The sequence below is a fragment of the Homo sapiens genome, chromosome 15, assembly GCF_000001405.40.
Source record: "Homo sapiens chromosome 15, GRCh38.p14 Primary Assembly".
Lineage (NCBI taxonomy): Eukaryota > Metazoa > Chordata > Mammalia > Primates > Hominidae > Homo > Homo sapiens.
The window spans coordinates 52160623-52178737 of record NC_000015.10 but is presented as its reverse complement, the minus strand read 5'-3'; the positions used below and the strand labels follow the sequence as shown (position 1 = coordinate 52178737).

At 44.5% G+C, this 18115-nt stretch overlaps 1 protein-coding gene across 4 annotated transcripts in view; it reads left to right on the top strand.

Annotated features, from left to right (window-relative positions):
- Positions 1-18115, top strand: part of GNB5 (G protein subunit beta 5) — a 76293-nt gene that overhangs the window by 12655 nt on the left and 45523 nt on the right. Inside the window, exon 1 of one of the 4 annotated variants that reach the window (XM_011521162.4) lies at positions 14757-15311. The exons of the other annotated variants lie outside the window; for them this stretch is intronic. Within the exon in view, the coding sequence (XP_011519464.1) occupies positions 15200-15311 (112 nt within the window). The 5' untranslated portion in view covers positions 14757-15199. Of the gene's footprint in view, positions 1-14756; positions 15312-18115 lie in introns of those variants that run through there. 4 annotated transcript variants of the gene reach the window in all.

Here is an 18115-nt window from a genome sequence, read left to right as displayed (position 1 = left end):
TGACCTGGATCTAGCGTGTGCTGTGCTTTCCTAGGGGTCTTCTTTAAATAGGAGGCACTCTAAGCTTAGAAATCCTGTCCAGCAATCACTAACTGTAAACCCCAAATAATGTAGTTATGCAAATTGAGAGTTACTTTTCTTACATAACAAGAGCAAAGGTGGATGATCACCTGCTGTTGTTCAGCTGCACCATGCACCCCCCACCAAGGGACCCAGGCTCCTTCTGCCTTTCTTCTCCACACCTTAGAGCAGTGGCATTTGCCCCATGATTATAATATGATTGCCACAGCTCCAAACATCACTTCTGTATCCAAGGCAGGAAGAAGGGGGAATATGGACACCAATCTCTCTTTGCTCCCTATCAAGAAAGCAAAGCAAAAGTTTTCCCAGAAATCCTTCTCCCAGTTTGAGACCAGCCTGGCCAACATGGTGAAAAGTATTCATAGGTCATCTAATTTCTCCATTTGACAGATGAGGAAACTGAGGCACAAAGAATTAAAGGACTTACCGAAGGTCCCCTGCTAAGTGTTGGGACCCGGATTCCCCCCAGGCAATCAGAGTGCCAGCTCAGGCTCACTTCAGATTATTTTCGCCAAACCCGTTTTGAGCTTCATGCAGAGGGCGTTCTCCAGAAACTCACTTATTCAATAGTGCAGGCTGCATGCCTGGATATTTTCAGGTTTTCTGTGAATTTGTAAGTTGCCTTAAGACAGAGAGCAGAGATGCAGCTTTTCAAAGGGAACCTCAGGGGGCAAATGTAGTCAATCCAAAAGAAGAAACTTTTTTTTGTCCTGCCAAGAGTGTGGTGCCCTCAAAAGCTAGGGCCAGATTTTAGACCCACAGTGGAAGGGTCTATCCCTACCTGCATATGTCAGAATTTGTGAGCTGGAAAGACCAGAAGTCATGTGGTTGTGTCCCTCTTGATTCCCCTGCAGCTTCCAGACCACTTCTCTTCTACCCCGCATAAAGCCTTTGCTTCTTGAAGGTTCTTATCACTGTATTGACCTCTTCCCCTTTGACATGTCTCCTGATCTCCCAGCCAGGTTCTCTCATTTCTCTACTTTTCTTTTCTTTTTTTTTTTTTTTTGACACGGAGTCTCCCTCTGTCACCCAGGCTGGAGTACAATGGCACAGTCTTGGCTTACTGCAACCTCCACCTCCCAGGTTCAAGTGTTTCTCCTGCCTCAGCCTCCCAAGTAGCTGGGACTATAGGCATGTGCCACCACACCCAAGTAATTTTTGTATTTTTAGTAGGCTTCACCATGTTGGCCAGGCTGGTCTCGAACTCCTGACCTCAAGTGATCTGCCCGCCTGAGCCTCCAAAAGTACTGGGATTACAGGTGTGAGCCACCGCACTCAGCCATTCTTTTCTTTATTCATCTTTATTTTTAAGAGACAGGGTCTCGGACCGACAGGGTGGCTCACGCCTGTAATCCCAGCACTTTGGGAGGCCAAGGCGGGTGGATCATGAGGTCAGGAGATTGAGACCATCCTGGCCAACATGGTGAAACCCCGTCTCTACTAAAAATACAAAAATTAGTTGGGCATGGTGGCAGGTGCCTGTAATCTCAGCTACTTGGGAGGCTGAGGCAGGAGAATAGCTTAAACCAGGGAGTTGGAGGTTGCAGTGAGCCGAGATCTTGCCACTGCACTCCAGCCTGGGCGACAGAGCGAGACTCCGTCTCAAAAAAAAAAAAAAAAAAAAAAAAGGAGGAGCTAGGCAGAGGCCCCAGGAGGGGGTGTGTTTGGTGTATCTGATGTATCTGAGGAAGAGTGAGGAGGCAGGTGTGTCTGGAGGGGAGTATGCAGGGCAGAGTCCAGCTGCAGGTTATGCTGGGAGCTCATGCAGGACCCCATGGGTGCAGTGAAGATTTGGGCTCTTACTCCCAGTGAGTTGGGAAACCCTTGGAGGGTTTTGAGAGAGAGGATGGATCTGATTGCTTTACTGGGCTCACTCTGCCTGCCATGTTTTGTGGCAGAACAAGACAGCTTGAGGGAGGGAAATGAAGTGTGAGAGGTAAGTGACCTGGGGTAAGAGTTCTTGACAAATGTCTCTTTCCCTCTTATCAGAGAGCCTACCTTGCGTGCCACTTGCCAGCTCCTAATGGAAGTTACAGCTGAAGGTGGAAGAGCGAGAGATGATTTCTGAGCTTGTCTTGGTCCCATAGTTGACCCTGCAGCCGCTCTTACCTTACCCCAGCCCAGACTCGCCCAGCTCCTTCCTAAGTGTGTTTGTCCCTTGGCACTCAGGTGGGAAAGGGAGGAAAGGATGCTGATGAGTTTTACTTGTGGAAGTATAAGCTAGAGCCCTGCCAGGTGCAAACAACAGTGCTGTCATTTTTCCCTGTATGAAGGAAAGTGGTATCATCCCCATCTGTGCGATGAGCGAGCAGGCTTAGCAAAGTCGAATAATTCCTTCAGGGTCATGCAGCTGGTTAGTGATTGGGCCAGGATTCAGTTTAGGAATGATGCAGCTTTCTTTGCAGGGCTCCCCATTGAGCAAGTGGCTGAGAGCCTGGGGGAAGGTGGGAAGGGTCTGGTGAGGCTGGGGAGGACCATAAACTGAATCTGTTCACTCCCCAGAGCAGGGGCTGGCAGCATGCACTTTCCTGTATCTCTTATGGTGACTGGCAGCCCCTTAGTTAACAGATGTTTTTGTTTGTTTGTTTGTTTTGTTTTGTTTTTTTTTGAGATGGAGTCTGGCTCTGTTGCCCAGGCTGGAGTGCAATGGCATGATCTCAGCTCGCTACAACCTCCACCTCCTGGGTTCAAGCAGTTCTCCTGCCTCAGCCTCCTGAGTAGCTGGGATTACAGGCACATGCCATCACACCTGGCTAATTTTTGTATTTTTAGTAGAGACAGAGTTTCACTGTGTTAACCAGGCTGGTCTCGAACTCCTGACCTTGTGATCCGTCCACCTTGGCCTCCCAAAGTGCTGGGATTACAGGTGTGACCCACTGCGCCTGGCCGTTTTTTGTTTGTTTGTTTGTTTGTTTTTTGAGACGGAGTCTCACTCTGTCGCCCAGGCTAGAGTCCAGTGGCACAATCTCAGCTCACTGTAAGTTCCACCACCCAGGTTCAAGCGATTCTCCTGCCTCAGCCTCCCAAGTAGCTGAGACTACAGGCATGTGCCACCATGCCTGGCTAATTTTTGTATTTTTAGTGGAGACCGGGTTTCACCATGTTGGACGGGCTGTTCTTGAACTCCTGACCTCAGGTGATCTGCCCGCCTCAGCCTCCCAAAGTGCTGGGATTACAGGCGTGAGCTAATGTGCCTGGCCTGACAGATTTGTTTCTGACACACACAGGCCTTGTTTCTTGCCCAGCTGAGATTCCCAGCCCCTGCTTCGTGATGACCTCTGCAGATATTTCCCATTTTGGAATCCAAGGATGGTTTCCTGTGAATTGGGAATGTGTGGCCAGACACATGAGTTTTATAGTACCAAATTAGGGTATGCGGCTGACACCAGAGGGGTATGGTTTATTCCCCAGAGCAACATGTGTTAGATGCCTGTACATTTTTGCATTTTAGTGTTGCTATATAGGTGGCCCAGTAGCCTCTGCCCTAGTCAGGGAGACCCCTTTAGGCTATCAGCTAAGGTAATCAACTCATCCCAGTTTGCCTGGGACCCTAGGTATGTGTGTTTGTTTGTTTGTTTGTTTTTGAGACAGAGTCTTGCTCTGTTACCCAGGCTGGAGTGCGGTGGCACGATCTCGGCTCGCTGCAACCTCCGCATTCCAGGTTCAAGCAATTCTCCTCCCTCGGCCCCACTAGTAGCAGGCACACACCATCTCGCCCAGCTAATTTTTGTATTTTTAGGAGAGATGGGGTTTTGCTATGTTGGCCAAGCTGGTCTCGAACTCCTGACTTTAGGTGATCCACCCGCCTCAGCCTCCCAAAGTTCTGGGATTACAGGCGTGTGCCACCGTGCCTAGCCAGACCCTAGGTTTTAAAATGGAAAGTCCTGCACCCCAGGAGACCCTGCGGCCCTAGGCAAACCAGGATAGTTGTTACCTCCTATTGGCTTGGACTTGCCCAAATTCTTGCCTTAAGGTAGCTTAAGGCAACATATTAAAATTGTATAGCATAAACTTTGAGGAAAAAATGGTTTCCTCTCTTCAGACACTGAGTTCTTCACCTCCATCCCTTTGGCCCTCATCCCCAAGCCAGACCCTTGGCCAACATTAAATATAGGAAGTATTAATAGCTTATATGGGTCCTCTGATGGGAAGCCAGCTCACATCAAACTCCACAGCCCCAAGCCCCATTTTCCCCTTCCTCCCACAGAGCTTCCTGCTTCTCCCCAGAGCTTTCTCCTTGTCACTTTCTGCTTATCTTCTACCACAGGCGAGTACTACCTCGCTTGATTCCAAGGCATTTTAGAATCATATGGTTACAGTGTGCATTCATTTCTGATTGCTACTGTACAAATTTCCACAAACTTAGTGGCTTGCAATAACATACATTTGTTTTCTTATAGTGCTGGAGGTCTATAATCGGTGACTAAAATGGGTGGGCAGGTCCTTCTGGAAGCTTTAGGGGAGAATCCATTTCTTGCTTTTTCCAGCTTCTTGGGGCTGCCCATGTTCTTGGCCCAAGGCTCACGTGATTCTGAGCACTGCTTCTGTGGTCACCTCTCTCTCTGACTCTAACCCACCTGCTCCCTCTTATTAGGATCCATGTGATTATGTTGGGCCCACCTGGATAATCCAGGATAATCTCCCCATCTCAAGATCCTTAACTTAATCACATCTAGAAAGTCCCTTTTGCCGTAAGATAGTATCGCCACTGGTTCTGGGGATTAGGATGTGGATACCTTTGGGGGCCATTATTTAGCCTATCACACAGCTTTTAGATCAGGAGGGTTCCCCTGCTTCAGCTTCAGTCTTCCAGCACAAAACATTTCCTTCTCTTCCTAACAGCCCTGTCCCTTATAGATGAAAAAGCAGCTGAGATCCAGGGAGGGGTGAAGGGATTTCCCTAAGATTTTGTAGCTACTCTAATGTTGAATAGGGAGTAGAGAAGATTCAAGCTCCCAGGACAGCTGTCCTCCTCACCATGCTAGACCTTCTCTTAGAAAGTTGAGATTTGCCAACAGTCTCCCTAACTGACCTAGTTCCGTCTACCTCTTCCACTTCACCTTGGATCAGTCTATGCTTTGCTCACTATCGCCAGTCACACTGGCCATCTTGGTGAGCTTCAGACCATCAAGCTTGTTCTTGCCTTCAGCCTTCAGACATGTTGTATTCTCTCTTCTGGAATGTTCTCCCACTTCTTTGCCTAGTTTACTTCATATATTCTGTCTCGGTTCATATTCCACCTCCTCAGAGGCACCTTCCCTTATTATAAAAAGCAGTAAATGTGCTGGGCACGGTGGCTCATGCCTGTAATCCCAGCACTTTGGGAGGCAGAGGCAGGTGGATCACTTGAGCCCAGGAGATCAAGACCAGCCTGGGCAGCATGGAGACTCCTTAATCTAAAATGGCCATGTCTGTCCCAACTTCCTACAATTTCAGCTCCCTTTCATTGTTCACTTCATCACTCTCTAAAATTACTTTCATTCATTTATTCTTTGTTGACTGATTGATGATTGGTTGATTTTATGTCTCCCTTACTAGAATGTAAGTACCTTGGCAGCAGGTACTTTATTTGTATCATTTACTGTGGATCACCCTCCTACAACAGTGAGCTAGGCTAAGTAAATATTTATCAAATGAAAAAAAAAGATTGGCATTGAAAAGAAAGAAAAGTAAATCCACGTATGAAAAGGTGCCGATTTTTTTTATTCAGTAAAAGAAAATAAAAAGCAAAGTGCCAAACAGTATATATAACATGATCTTAACAAACAAGAGGTGCTTGTATATGCAGTAAATGTCTGGAAGGATACGCAAGGAACTTGTTATCGCTAGAGAGGGGTATGGAAAGTGAAGGTGCTTTTCATTTTATACCCATCTATACATTTACTGTTTTTGAGCCAGGTTCTCACTCTGTCACACAGGCTGGAGTACAGTGGCCCGATCATGGTTCACTGCCGCCTCAAACTCCTGGCTACCTCAGCCTCTCAAGTAGCTGGGACTACAGGTGTGTGCCACCACACCTGGCTAATTTTTGCATTTTTTTGTAGAGACGAGGTTTCTCCATGTCGCCCAGGCTGGTCTTGATCTCCTGGGCTCAAGCGATCCACCTACCTCTGCCTCCCAAAGTGCTGGGATTACAGGCATGAGCCACCGCACCCAGCACATTTACTGCTTTTTATAATAAGGGAAAAATGAGTACTAGAATGGGAGTCAAGATCAAGAATAAAAGGAGGCCGGGCATGGTGGCTCACTTTGGAAGGCTAAAACGGAAAGATCACTTGAGCCCAGGAGTTGAAGACCAGCCTGGGCAATATAGTGAGACCTCAACTCTCAAAAAAATAAAAATAAAAAAATAAAAATTAGCCAGGCATGATGGTGTGTACCTGTGGTCCCAGCTACTCGGGAGGCTGAGGTGGGAGGATCACTTGAGCCCAGGAGGTTGAGACTGCAAAGAGCTATGATTGCACCACTGCACTCAAGCCTGTGTGACAGAATAAGATCCTGTCTCAAAAAATAAAAAATAAAAAGAGAAAGGGGAAAACAATTCAACTCTAAAGAGTCTTTAACTTGAAATTAAACTGAGGAATAATCTGCAAGACAGGCTCAAACCAGACAGACCAGGAAGGACATGGTGTTCATTTCAGCCAACAGGCACAGCAGCCTCCTGGGGCTGTGTGGGAGCTTTACTCCAATTCCCAGGTCCTTGAGGCAGATGCTAATATTGTTAAGGAACAAAGCAAGTTTATGTCGTTTCTCTGAGTACAAATCTAGACTAAATTTGATAGAAGGATGTATTATCTGATACCATTAACTTTTCTATCTATTCTAAATGTAATTTTTTGAAAAGTTTTATTATTGAATGCTTTATGGCTTAGAGTCTTGGACTATTCTGATTTATGGCTTAGGGAAAAATCTAGGAAAACCAACTTTCTAGATTAGCCTGGAGCAAACATATTCCTTGACTTTTTTCATATTCTAAGAAAATGTGATCTGTGTACCGACGCTTACAGAAGTCGGTTTCTCTACAGTCATCCTCTTCCCTGCTGTTTGGCCACATGCCTCCTGCAGCCATCAGAGGCAGCAGAAAGCTAACCTGCCTTCATTTCCTTTCCCCTTCCTTTCTCTGCATTCACTGTTATACTCGAGCTGGCTAATGCAAGGGTGTTTAGAGTACTTTCCCAATAAACAAATGCTCACTGTGGAAAAATCTAGAAATATAGAAGAAAACAAGTCATTCATAATCTCAATACCTAGAGGTAGCCATTTTTAATATTTTCATGTATTTCATAGCTTATGTTTCCATGTTTGTGTATATATTTATAAGCTTACTAGGGACTGTACTAGATAGAGGATTTGAGCCCAGTTTTAACATTCAGCACAATGGATTGAGTAGCTCCCCATGTCATTTACATTTCTTTTAATGTCATCATTAAAAATTCTTATATGGAACCTTACAGTATTCAATCTTAAAGATGGTCCCATAACTTAATTCTCCAAACTTTTAATTAGGGAATTCAGGGTAGAATTTTTTGTGGCTCATGAATTTTTTTTTTTTTTTTTTTTTTTGGAGATAGAGTCTCACTTTATTGCTCACCTGGAGTCCAGTAGCGTGATCATGGCTCACTGCAACCTCCACCTCCCAGATTGAAGTGCTTCTCTTGCCTCAGCCTCCCAAGTAGCTGGGATTATAGTCGCACACCACCATGCCTGGCTAATTTTTTTTTTATAGTTTAGCCATGTTGTCCAGGCTGGTCTCAAACTCCTGACCTCAGGTGATCTGCCTGCCTCAGCCTCTCAAAGTGCTGGGATTACAGGCATGAGCCACCACGCCCAGCCTCATGAATTTTTTTAAGGCAATTCACAAATCTCTGACAAATACAAGTGAGATAAATGTGACTATTAATGTTTTCCTTCCATACAGGGGTTTGAGAGGGTTTTTTTTTTTTTCTTCAGCTTTTAAGTTCCAGGGTACATGTGCAGGATGTGCAGTTTTGTTACATAGGTAAACATGTGTCATGTGGTTTGCTGCACAGATCAACCCATCACCTAAGTATTAAGCCCAGCATCCATTAGCTATTCTTCCTGATGCTGTCCCTCCTGCTATGCCCCTGACAGGCCCCAGTGTGTGTTGTTCCCCCGATGTGTCCATTTGTTCTCATCGTTCAGCTCCTACTTATAAAGGAGAACATGTGGTGTTTGGTTTTCTGTTTCTGCCTTAGTTTGCTGAGGATAATGGCTTCCATGTCCCTGCAAAGGACATTATTTCATTCCTTTTTATGGCTGCATAGTATTCCATGGTATGTATGTACCACATTTTCTTTATCCAGTCTATCATTGATGACCATTTGGGTTCATTTCACATCTTTGATATTGTAAATAGTGCTGCAATGAACATTCGTGCATGTATCTTTTAATAGATTGGTTTATATTCCTTTGGATATATACCCAGTAATGGGATTGCTGGGTCAAATGGCATTTCTGCTTCTAGATCTTTGAGGAATTGCCACACTGTCTTCCACAGGGTTGAACTAATTTAATTTACATTCCCACCAACAGTGTAGAAGCATTCCTTTTTCTCCGCAACCTCACCAGCATCTGTTACTTCTTGACTTTTTAATAATCACCTTTCTGACTGACATGAGATGGTATCTCATTGTGGTTTTGATATGCATTTCTCTAATGATCAGTGATATTGAGCTTTTTTTCATGTTTGTTGTCTGCATGAGTGTCTTCTTTTGAGAAGTGTCTGTTCATGTCCTTTGCCCACTTTTTAATGGGGTTTTTTTTCTTGTAAATTTGTTTAAGTTCTTGTAGATTCTGGATATCAGACTTTTATCAGATGGATAGATCACAAACATTTTCTCCCTTCTGTAGTTTGTCCCTTCACTCTGATGTAGTTTATTTTGCTATGCAGAGGCCCTTTGTTTTAATTAGATCCCATTTATCAATTTTTGCTTGTGTTGCAATTACTTTCGGCATTTTTGTCATGAAATCTTTGGCCCATGACTATGTCCTGAATGGTATTGCCTAGGTTTTCCTCTTTACCTCTTTTCTTTTCTTTCTTTTCTTTTTTTCTTTTTCTCTTCTCTTCTTTTCTTTTTTTTTTTTTTTTTTTTTTTTTGAGACAGAGTCTCGCTCTTGTCACCCAGGCTGGAGTGCAATGGCGTGATCTCTGCTCACTGCAACCTCCGCCTCCTGGGTTCAGGCTCTTCTCCTGCCTCAGCCTTCTGAATAGCTGGGATTACAGGTGCCCACCACCATGCCCAGCTAATTTTTTGTATTTTTAGTAGAGACGGGGTTTCACCATGTTGGCCAGGCTGGTTTCAAACTCCTGACTTCAGGTGATCTGCCTGCCTCAGTCACCCAGGCTGGAGTGCAGTGGTGCGATCTCGGCTCACTGCAGCCTCCGCCTCCTAGGTTCAAGTGATTCAAGTGCCTCAGCCTCCCAAGTAGCTGGGACTACAAGCATACGCCACCACACCTAATTTTTGTATTTTTAGTAGAGACGGGGTTTCACCATGTTGGCCAGGCTGGTCTCAAACTCCTAACCTCAAGTGATTCGTCCACACTGGCCTCCCAAAATGCTGGGATTACAGGCGTGAGCCCCCACATCCGGCCTGGTATTGCCTAGATTTTCTTCTAGGGTTTTTATAGTTTGGGGTTTTACATTTAAGTCTTTAATCCATCTTGCATTAATTTTTGTATAAGGTGTAAGGAAGGGGTCCAGTTTCAGTCTTCTGCATATGGCTAGCCAGTTCTCCTAACACTATTTATTAAATAGGGAATCCTTTCCCCATTGCTTGTTTTTGTCAGGTTCATCAAAGATCAGATGATTGTAGGTGTGCAATCTTATTTCTGAGCTCTCCATTCGGTTCCATTGGTCTGTGTGTCTGTTTTTGTACCAGTACCCAGCTGTTTTGGTTACTGTAGCCTTGTAGTATATTTTGAAGTTGGGTAGCCTGATGCCTCCAGCTTTGTTCCTTTTGCTGAGGATTATCTTGGCTATATGGGCTCTCTTTTGGTCCCATGTGAATTTTAAAATAGTTTTTTTTCCTATTCTATGAAGAATGTCAATGGTAGTTTAATGGGAATCGCATTGAATCTATAAATTACTTTGGGCAATATGGCCATTTTCACTGTATTGATTCTTCCTATCCATAAGCATGGAATGTTTTTCCATTTGTTTGTGCCCTCTCTGATCTCCTTGAGCAGTGGTTTGTAGTTCTTGAAGAGATCCTTCACTTACCTTGTTAGCTGTATTCCCAGGTATTTGATTCTCTTTGTAGCAATTATGAATGGGAGTTCACTCATGATTTGGCTCTCTAGTGATTTTTGCACATTGATTTTGGATCCTGAGACTTTGCTGAAGTTGCTTATCAGCTTAGGAAACTTTTGGGCTTAGACGATGGGGTTTTCTAGATATAGGATCTTGTCATCTGCAAACAAAGATAATTTGACTTCTCTCTTCCTATTTGAATACCGTTTGTTTCTTTCTCTTGCCTGATTGCCCTGGCCAGAACTTCCAGTACTATATTGAATAGGAGTGGAGAGAGAGGGCATCTTTGTCTTGTGCCAGTCAAGGGGAATGCTTCCAGCTTTTGCCCATTCAGTATGATATTCGGTGTAGGTTTGTCATATATGGCTCTTACTATTTTGAGATATGTTCCTTCAATACCTTGTTTATTGCGAGTTTTTAACATGAAGGGATGTTGAATTTTATTGAAGGCCTTTTCTCTGTCTTATCGAGGTAATCATGTGGTTTTTTTCTTTAGTTTTTTTTATATGATGAATTATATTTACTGATTTGTGTATGTTGAACCAATGTTGCATCCTGGGGATGAATCCAACTTGATAGTGTTGGATAAGTTTTTTGATGTGATGCTGGATTCAGTTTCCCAGTATTGGGAATCATTTATTGATGATTTTTGCACCAATGTTCATCAGGGATATTGGCCTGAAGTTTTCTTTTTTCTTTTCTTTTTTTTTTTGAAATGGAGTCTTGCTCCTGTTGCCCAGTCTGGAGTGCAATGGCATGATCTTGACTCACTGCAACCTCTACCTCCTGCGTTCAGGCGATTCTCCTGCCTCAGCCTCCTGAGTAGCTAAGATTACAGGCGCCTGCCACCACGCCCGGCTAATTTTTTGTATTTTTAGTAGAGACAGAGTTTCACCATGTTGGCCAGGCTGGTCTCAAAGTCCTGACCTCAGGTGATCCACCCGCCTCAGCCTCCCAAAGTGCTGGGATTACAGACGTGGGCCACTGCACTCGGCCAAAGTTTTCTTTTTTTGTTGTGTCTCTGCCAGGTTTTGATATCAGGATGATGCTGACCTGATAAAATGAGTTAGGGAGGAGTCCCTCCTTTTCAATTGTTTAGAATAGTTTCAGAAGAAAGGGTACCAGCCCCTCTTTGTACCTCTGGTAAAATTCAGCTGTAAATCTGTCTGGTCCTGGACTTTTTTTTGTTGGTAGGCTATTTATTACTGCCTTAATTTCAGACCTCATTATTGGCCTATTCAGGGATTCCATTTCTTCCTGGTTCAGTCTTGGGAGGGTGTATGCATTTAGGAATTTATCTATTTCTTCTAGATTTTCTAGTTTATGTGCATAGAGGTATTTGTAGTATTCTCTGATGGTTGTTTGTATTTCTGTGGGGTCAGTGGTGATATCCCCTTTATCATTTCTGATTGTGTCTATTTGATTCTCCTCTCTTTTATTAATCTATCTAGTGGTCTATCTATTTTATTAATTTTTTCAAAAAACCAGCTCCTGGATTCATTGATTTTTTTGAAGGGTTTTTCATGTCTCTATCTCCTTTAGTTCCACTCTGATCTTGGTTATTTCTTGTCTTCTGCTAGCTTTGGGGTTTTTTGCTCTTGGTTCTCTAATTCTTTTAGCTGTGATGTTAGGTTGTTGATTTGAGATCTTTCTAGCTTTCTAATATAGACATTTAGTGCTAAAATTTCCCTCTTAACACTGCTTTAGCTGTGTCCTAGAGATTCTGGTACGTTGTCTCTTAGTTCTCATTAGTTTCAAAGAACTTCTTGATTTCTACCATAATTTCATTATTTACCTAGGAGTCATTCAGGAACAGGTTGTTCAATTTCCATGTAGTCGTGTGGTTTTGAATGAGTTTCTTAATCTTGAGTTCTAATTTGATTTCGCTGTGGTCTGAGAGACTGTTATGATTTCAGTTCTTTTGCATTTACTAAGGAGAGTTTTACTTCCAATTATGTGATCAATTTTAGAGTAATGGCATGTGGTGATGAGAAGAATGTATATTCTGTTTTTGGATGGAGAATTCTGTAGATATCTGTCAGGTCCACTTCATCCAGAGCTGAGTTCAGGTTCTGAATATCCTTGTTAATTTTCTCTCTCAATGATCTGTCTAATGTTGCCAGTGGGGTGTTAAAGTCTCCCACTATTATTGTGTGGGAGTGTAAGTCTCTTTGTAGATCTGTAAGAACTTGCTTTATGAATCTGGGTGCTCCTGTATTGGGTGCATATATATTTAGAATAGTTAGCTCTTCTTGTTGAATTGAACACTTTACCATTATGTAATGCCCTTCTCTGTCTTTTTTTATCTTTGTTGGTTTAAAGTCTGTTTTGTTGGAAACTAGGATTGCAACGCCTGCTTTTTTCTGTTTTCCATTTGCTTGGTAAATTTTCCTCCATCCCTTTATTTTTAGCCTATGTGTGTCTTTGCATGTGAGATGGGGCTCTTGAATATAGCATACCAATGAGTCTGGACTCGATCCAGCTTGCCATTCTGTGTCTTTTAATTGGAGCATTTAGCCCATTTACATTTAAGGTTAATATTGTTATGTGTGAATTTGATCCTGTCATCATGATGCTAGCTAGTTATTTTGCAGACTTGTTTGTGTAGGTGCTTCACAGCGTACTTGTACTTCAGTTTTTTTTTGGTAGTAGCTGGTAACAGTTTTTCCTTTCTATATTTGGTGCTTCCTTCAGGAGCTTTTACAGGGCAGGCCTGGTGGTGATAAATTTCCTCAGCATTTGCTTGTCTGAAAAAGATCTTGTTTCTTCTTTGCTTATGAAGCTTAGCTTGGCCGCATATAAAATTCTGGGTTGGAAATTCTTTTCCTTAAGAATGTTGAATATTGGCCCCACTCTCTTCGGGCTTGTAAGGTTTCCACTGAGAGGTCTGCTGTTAGTCTGGCGGGCTTCCCTTTGCTTTTCTCTCTGGCTGCCCTTAACATTTTTTCTTTCATTTCAGTCTTGGAGAATCTGATGATTATGTGTCTTGGGGTTGATCTTTAAAGGGAGTATCTTACTGGCGTTCTCTGGATTTCCTGAATTTGAACGTTGCCCTGTCTTCTTAGGTTAGGGAAGTTCTCCTGGATGATATCCTGAAGTATGTTTTTTAGCTTGTTCCATTCTCCCCATATCTTTCAGGTACCCTAATCAGTTGTAGGTTCAGTCTTTTTACATAATCCCATATTTACTGGAGGTTTTGTTCATTCCTTTTCATTGTTTTTTCTCTATTCTTGTCTGCTTGCCTTATTTTAGAAAGATAGTCTTCAAGCTCTGAGATTGTTTCCTATGCTTGGTCTGTTCAGCTGTTGTTACTTGTGATTGCATCGTGACATTCTTATGTTGTATCTTTCAGCCCCATCAGGTCATTTATGTTCCTCTCTAAACTGGCTATTTTGGTTATCAGCTCCTGTAATGTTTTATCATGATTCTTAGCTTCTTTGCATTGGGTTAGAACATGCTCCTTTAGCTCAGTGAAGTTCATTATTACCCACCTTCTGAAGCCTACTTCTGTCACTTCCTCTATCTCAGCCTCAACCCAGTTCTGTGCCTTTGCTATAGAGATGCTGTGATCACGTGGAGAAGAGGCACTCTGGCCTTTTGAGTTCTCAGTGTTTTTGTGTTGATTCTTTCTCATCTTGGTGGGCTTATCTATCTTAAGTCTTTGAGGTTGCTGACCTATGAATGGGGTTTTTGTGGAGTCTTTTTGATGATGATGTTGCTTTCTTTCTATTTTATTTTTATTTATTTATTTATTTTGAGATGGAGTCTGGCTCTGTCGCCCAGGCTGGAGTGCAGTGTCGTGCTCTCGGCTCACTGCAAGCTCCGCCTCCCAGGTTGACGCCATTCTCCTGCCTCAGTCTCCTGAGTAACTGGGACTACAGGTGTGTCTGCCACCACGCACAGCTAATTTTTTTTATTTTTATGTTTTCAGTAGAGACGGGGTTTCACCGTGTTAGCCAAGAATGTCTCGATCTCCTGACTTCGTGATCCGCCCGCCTCGGCCTCCCAAAGTGCTGGGATTACAGGCTTGAGCCACCACACCCAGCATTTTTTTTTTTTTTTTTTTTTTTTTTTTAAGACAGAGTCTTGCTGTTGTCTCCCAGGCTGGAGTGCAATGGCACCATCTCGGCTCACTGCAACCTCTGCCTCCCAGGTTCAAGCGATTCTCCTGCCTCAGCCCCCCGAGTAGCTGGGATTACAGGCGCCCGCCATCACACCCAGCTAATTTTTGTATTTTTAGTATTTTGTATATTTGTATCTCACTATGTTGGTCAGGCTGGTCTTGAACTCCTGACCTCGTGATCCTCTTGCCTCGGCCTCCCAAAGTGCTGGAATTATAGGTGTGAGCCACCGTGCCCGGCTGTTTTTCTTTTAACAGTCAGGCCTCTCCTCCACAGGGCTGCTGCGGTTTGCTGGGGGTCCACTCCAGACCCTTATTGCCTGGGTCCCTCCTGCACCTGGAGGTATCACCAGTGAAGGCTGCAAAACAGCAAAGATGGCATCCAGCTCCTTCCTCTGGAGACTCCATCCCAGAGGGGCACCAACCTGATGCCAGCTGGAACGCTCCTGGAGGAGGCATTTGTAGACCCCTGTTGGGAGGTCTCACCCAGTCAAGAGGAATGGGATCAGGGACCCGCTTAAAGAAGCAGTCTGGCTGCCCCCTGGTGGAGCAGATACGCTGTGCTGGGGGAAACCTCCCTCATCCAGACCACCCAGACTCTCCAGAGCATCCAGGTCCCACTGAAAGTAGCAGTCTGGCCATGATCTGCCACAGCAGCTGTGCTGCGCTGTGGGGAATTCCTCCCAGTTTGGACCACCCTGACTCCCAGGAGCTGGCAGGCCAGGATGGCCTACTTGAGCTGCAGAGATAGTGTCTGTCCCTCCTACACGTCCACCCAGCTCGGTCGTCTCAGGCCGTCTCCAACGTCTACCACTGGCTGGCTGGAATTACAAGACAGTGAGTCTTAGCTTGTGAGGTGCTGTGGGAGTGGGGCCCGCTGAACGACGGTGCTTAGCTCCCTGGCATCACCCCACCTTCCTAGGGGAATAGATGGATCTCCTTCCTCACAGGACTTTCTTGGGCCGGAGTTTGCGAAAACTCCTGGGTCTCCGTGTGTGGCCACGCTGCCACTGAGAGTCTGCAGAGCTCTGTGCTTTAGACCCAAGGCCCTCGGCGTCTTGGGCTCACGAGGTGATCTCCCGATCCACAGGTTGCAAAGATCTGTGGGAAAAGCGTGGTTTCCCGGGCGTGGTCTCACAATCACTCACCGCCTCCCTTGGCCGGTGGTCGGGGCTCCCCTGGCTCAGTGTTGCCCCCCGGGTGGGCCATCTCCCCACCCTGCTTTTCCTCGCTCTCTGTGAGTCGCCCCGACTAGCTATTCAGTCCCAGTGCAAGAATCTGAATACCTCAGTTGAAGGTGTAGAATTCACTCGCCATTCCGTTCTCCACGAGCGCTGCGGATTGCAGCTGCTTCTAACCAGCCATCTTGGCCCGCCTTGTGTGGGGTTTTTTTGTTTGTTTGTTTTGTTTTTTAAGGCTAGTCAAGTGAAGCAGTGGGAGTGGAGAAGAAACAAAGAAATCTGTAACTGGTTGTAATCAATTAGTAGTAAACACCATTGCACTCGGATCAGCCTGTTTGAGGGTTTTGTATCCATCCTATCCCATTCTACTTTGGCACAGAATCAGACTACATGAGTTTTTTTAATTAGCATTAAATTTTTTTTCTCCTTGATTCCTTTAATCTACCAAAAGGTGGCCATGAAAAGACTGTATATATTAGTGCAAATTTGAAAGTGATTCCAGATCATTTTTTAAATAGTTTTGTTTTGCTATTTAAGACATTTCGCTTGTCTTCTTTGCAGTCGGTTTCAGAGTATTTATTTTCACGGATATTTTAGAGCTTGTTCATGCTTTGGTTCCTTGTTTTTTCATTGCCTGATGATGTAATGAGAAGGACCCTGTTGTGAATTTTCACTTTATAAATTTACATGGTTTGAATTCTTGTGTATTGAGCTGCACACCATATCTTTTGCTTTCAGTTCATGTATGCACAGATTATAAAATAAATAACAAAAGTATTCCCTGAAAGTTGAGAGTAAGCCACATCGTGATGAAAAGTTAAGTTTTTGCCAGAATTATATTTCCAAGGCCCTGTGAGATACTCTCTAATACCCTCATTTTACAGAGCAGGGTGCAGGCTCCGAGGAGATATGCATTCACCTTTAATTTGTTAACTGTGCTCTTCCCTCAGGCCCCATTTTCCTTTTCTGAGAAGCAAGGGGGCTTGATGTGGCTCACTGGCCTTCACGCTTGCTGTTTGGACTCCAGGGGTAGATGTGATATTTGGAACTTAGGGGTAGACGTGCCTTCCTGTCTGGCCGTCACCCTCCCTCCACTGTTCACCAGCTCAGCTCTGCCTTCATCTGTTTTCCGTATTGGACTTCTGGTAAGATTTTGTCCATGAGCCAAAGCAGAGGCAGTTGGGGGAGACTTCTACAGGTAAAATGGGAGCTTGAAGACTACCGGTCCACATGGTTATCCAACTCTAAGTGCCATCCAGTTGGGACCCGTCCATCATGTTCAGTCTGGCACGCAGCACAGGGCCAGCCTGCGAAAGGTGCTCAGTCCTTGCTTGTTGAGTCATTCAGGTCTCTTCTGGCTGTAACTTTCCATGATTCTTCCAGCCAAGTGGCTGCCAAGCCAAGACCCAGGCAGGTTTCTTCACTCCTGATCTAGGCTCTCTAGCTCTGTGACCCATTGATCTGGCTACCTCGAAGAGGTATGGCTGGGCACGGTGGCTCACACCTGTAATCCCAGCCCTTTGGGAGGCTGAGGTGGGTGGACCACTTGAGGCCAGGACTTCGAGACCAACCTGGGCAACATGGTGGAACCCCATCTCTACTAAAAAAAATACGAAAATTAGCCGGGCGTGGTAGCGCGTGCCTGTAATCCCAGCTGCTTGAGAGGCTGAGGCATGAGAATTGCTTGAACCTGGAAGGTGGAGGTTGCAGTGAGCCAAGATCACGCCACTGCACTCCAGCCTGGGCAACAGAGCGAGACTCTGTCTCAAAAAAAGAAAGAGGCATGGAGGATCCAAAGTTAGGATGTCTCCTGGACTAAGAAGCCATTGTCAGTGCCTCACCTACTCCTTGATTTTCTAAATAATGATAGCTACCCGCCCACAGATTCTCCCATTATTGAAGGTATGTAAATGTTCTTAGGGATCCAAGTATGTGTGCATGAGGTCCTTAGCCTCTCTGAGCTCCAGGCTCCTCATCTGTAGAAATGGAGATAAAGCCTTTGTCCTCAGGCTGTTGTGTAAAGCACTCAGCCCAGTGCCCGTCACCCAGGAGACACACAATCAATGGTGGATATTGGTAACATACATCAAAAGCCTTAAAAAATATGCTTTCCCTTTGACTCAGTAATTCCACGAATTGAAATTTATCTAAGGAGATAATACAGTACAAGGGTATCATGGTAGCCCTGGGACAAAGTAAGTGTCCACCAGTAGGAGATTCAGAGATTATAGTATGTATATACAGTGGAATGTTATGGAGTCATTAAAAATGATAGGCTGGGTGTGGCAGCTCACACCTGTAATCCCATGCCTGTAGTCCCCCAAATTTTATGTGGCATGTTGTCTGCTTATACACATATATATGTGTGTGCACATATGTGGAGGAAAGGCTGGAAGGGTACACACCAAATGATAAGAATGGTCAGGCTAAGCAGAATTGTAAGTGACCATATATTTTTAT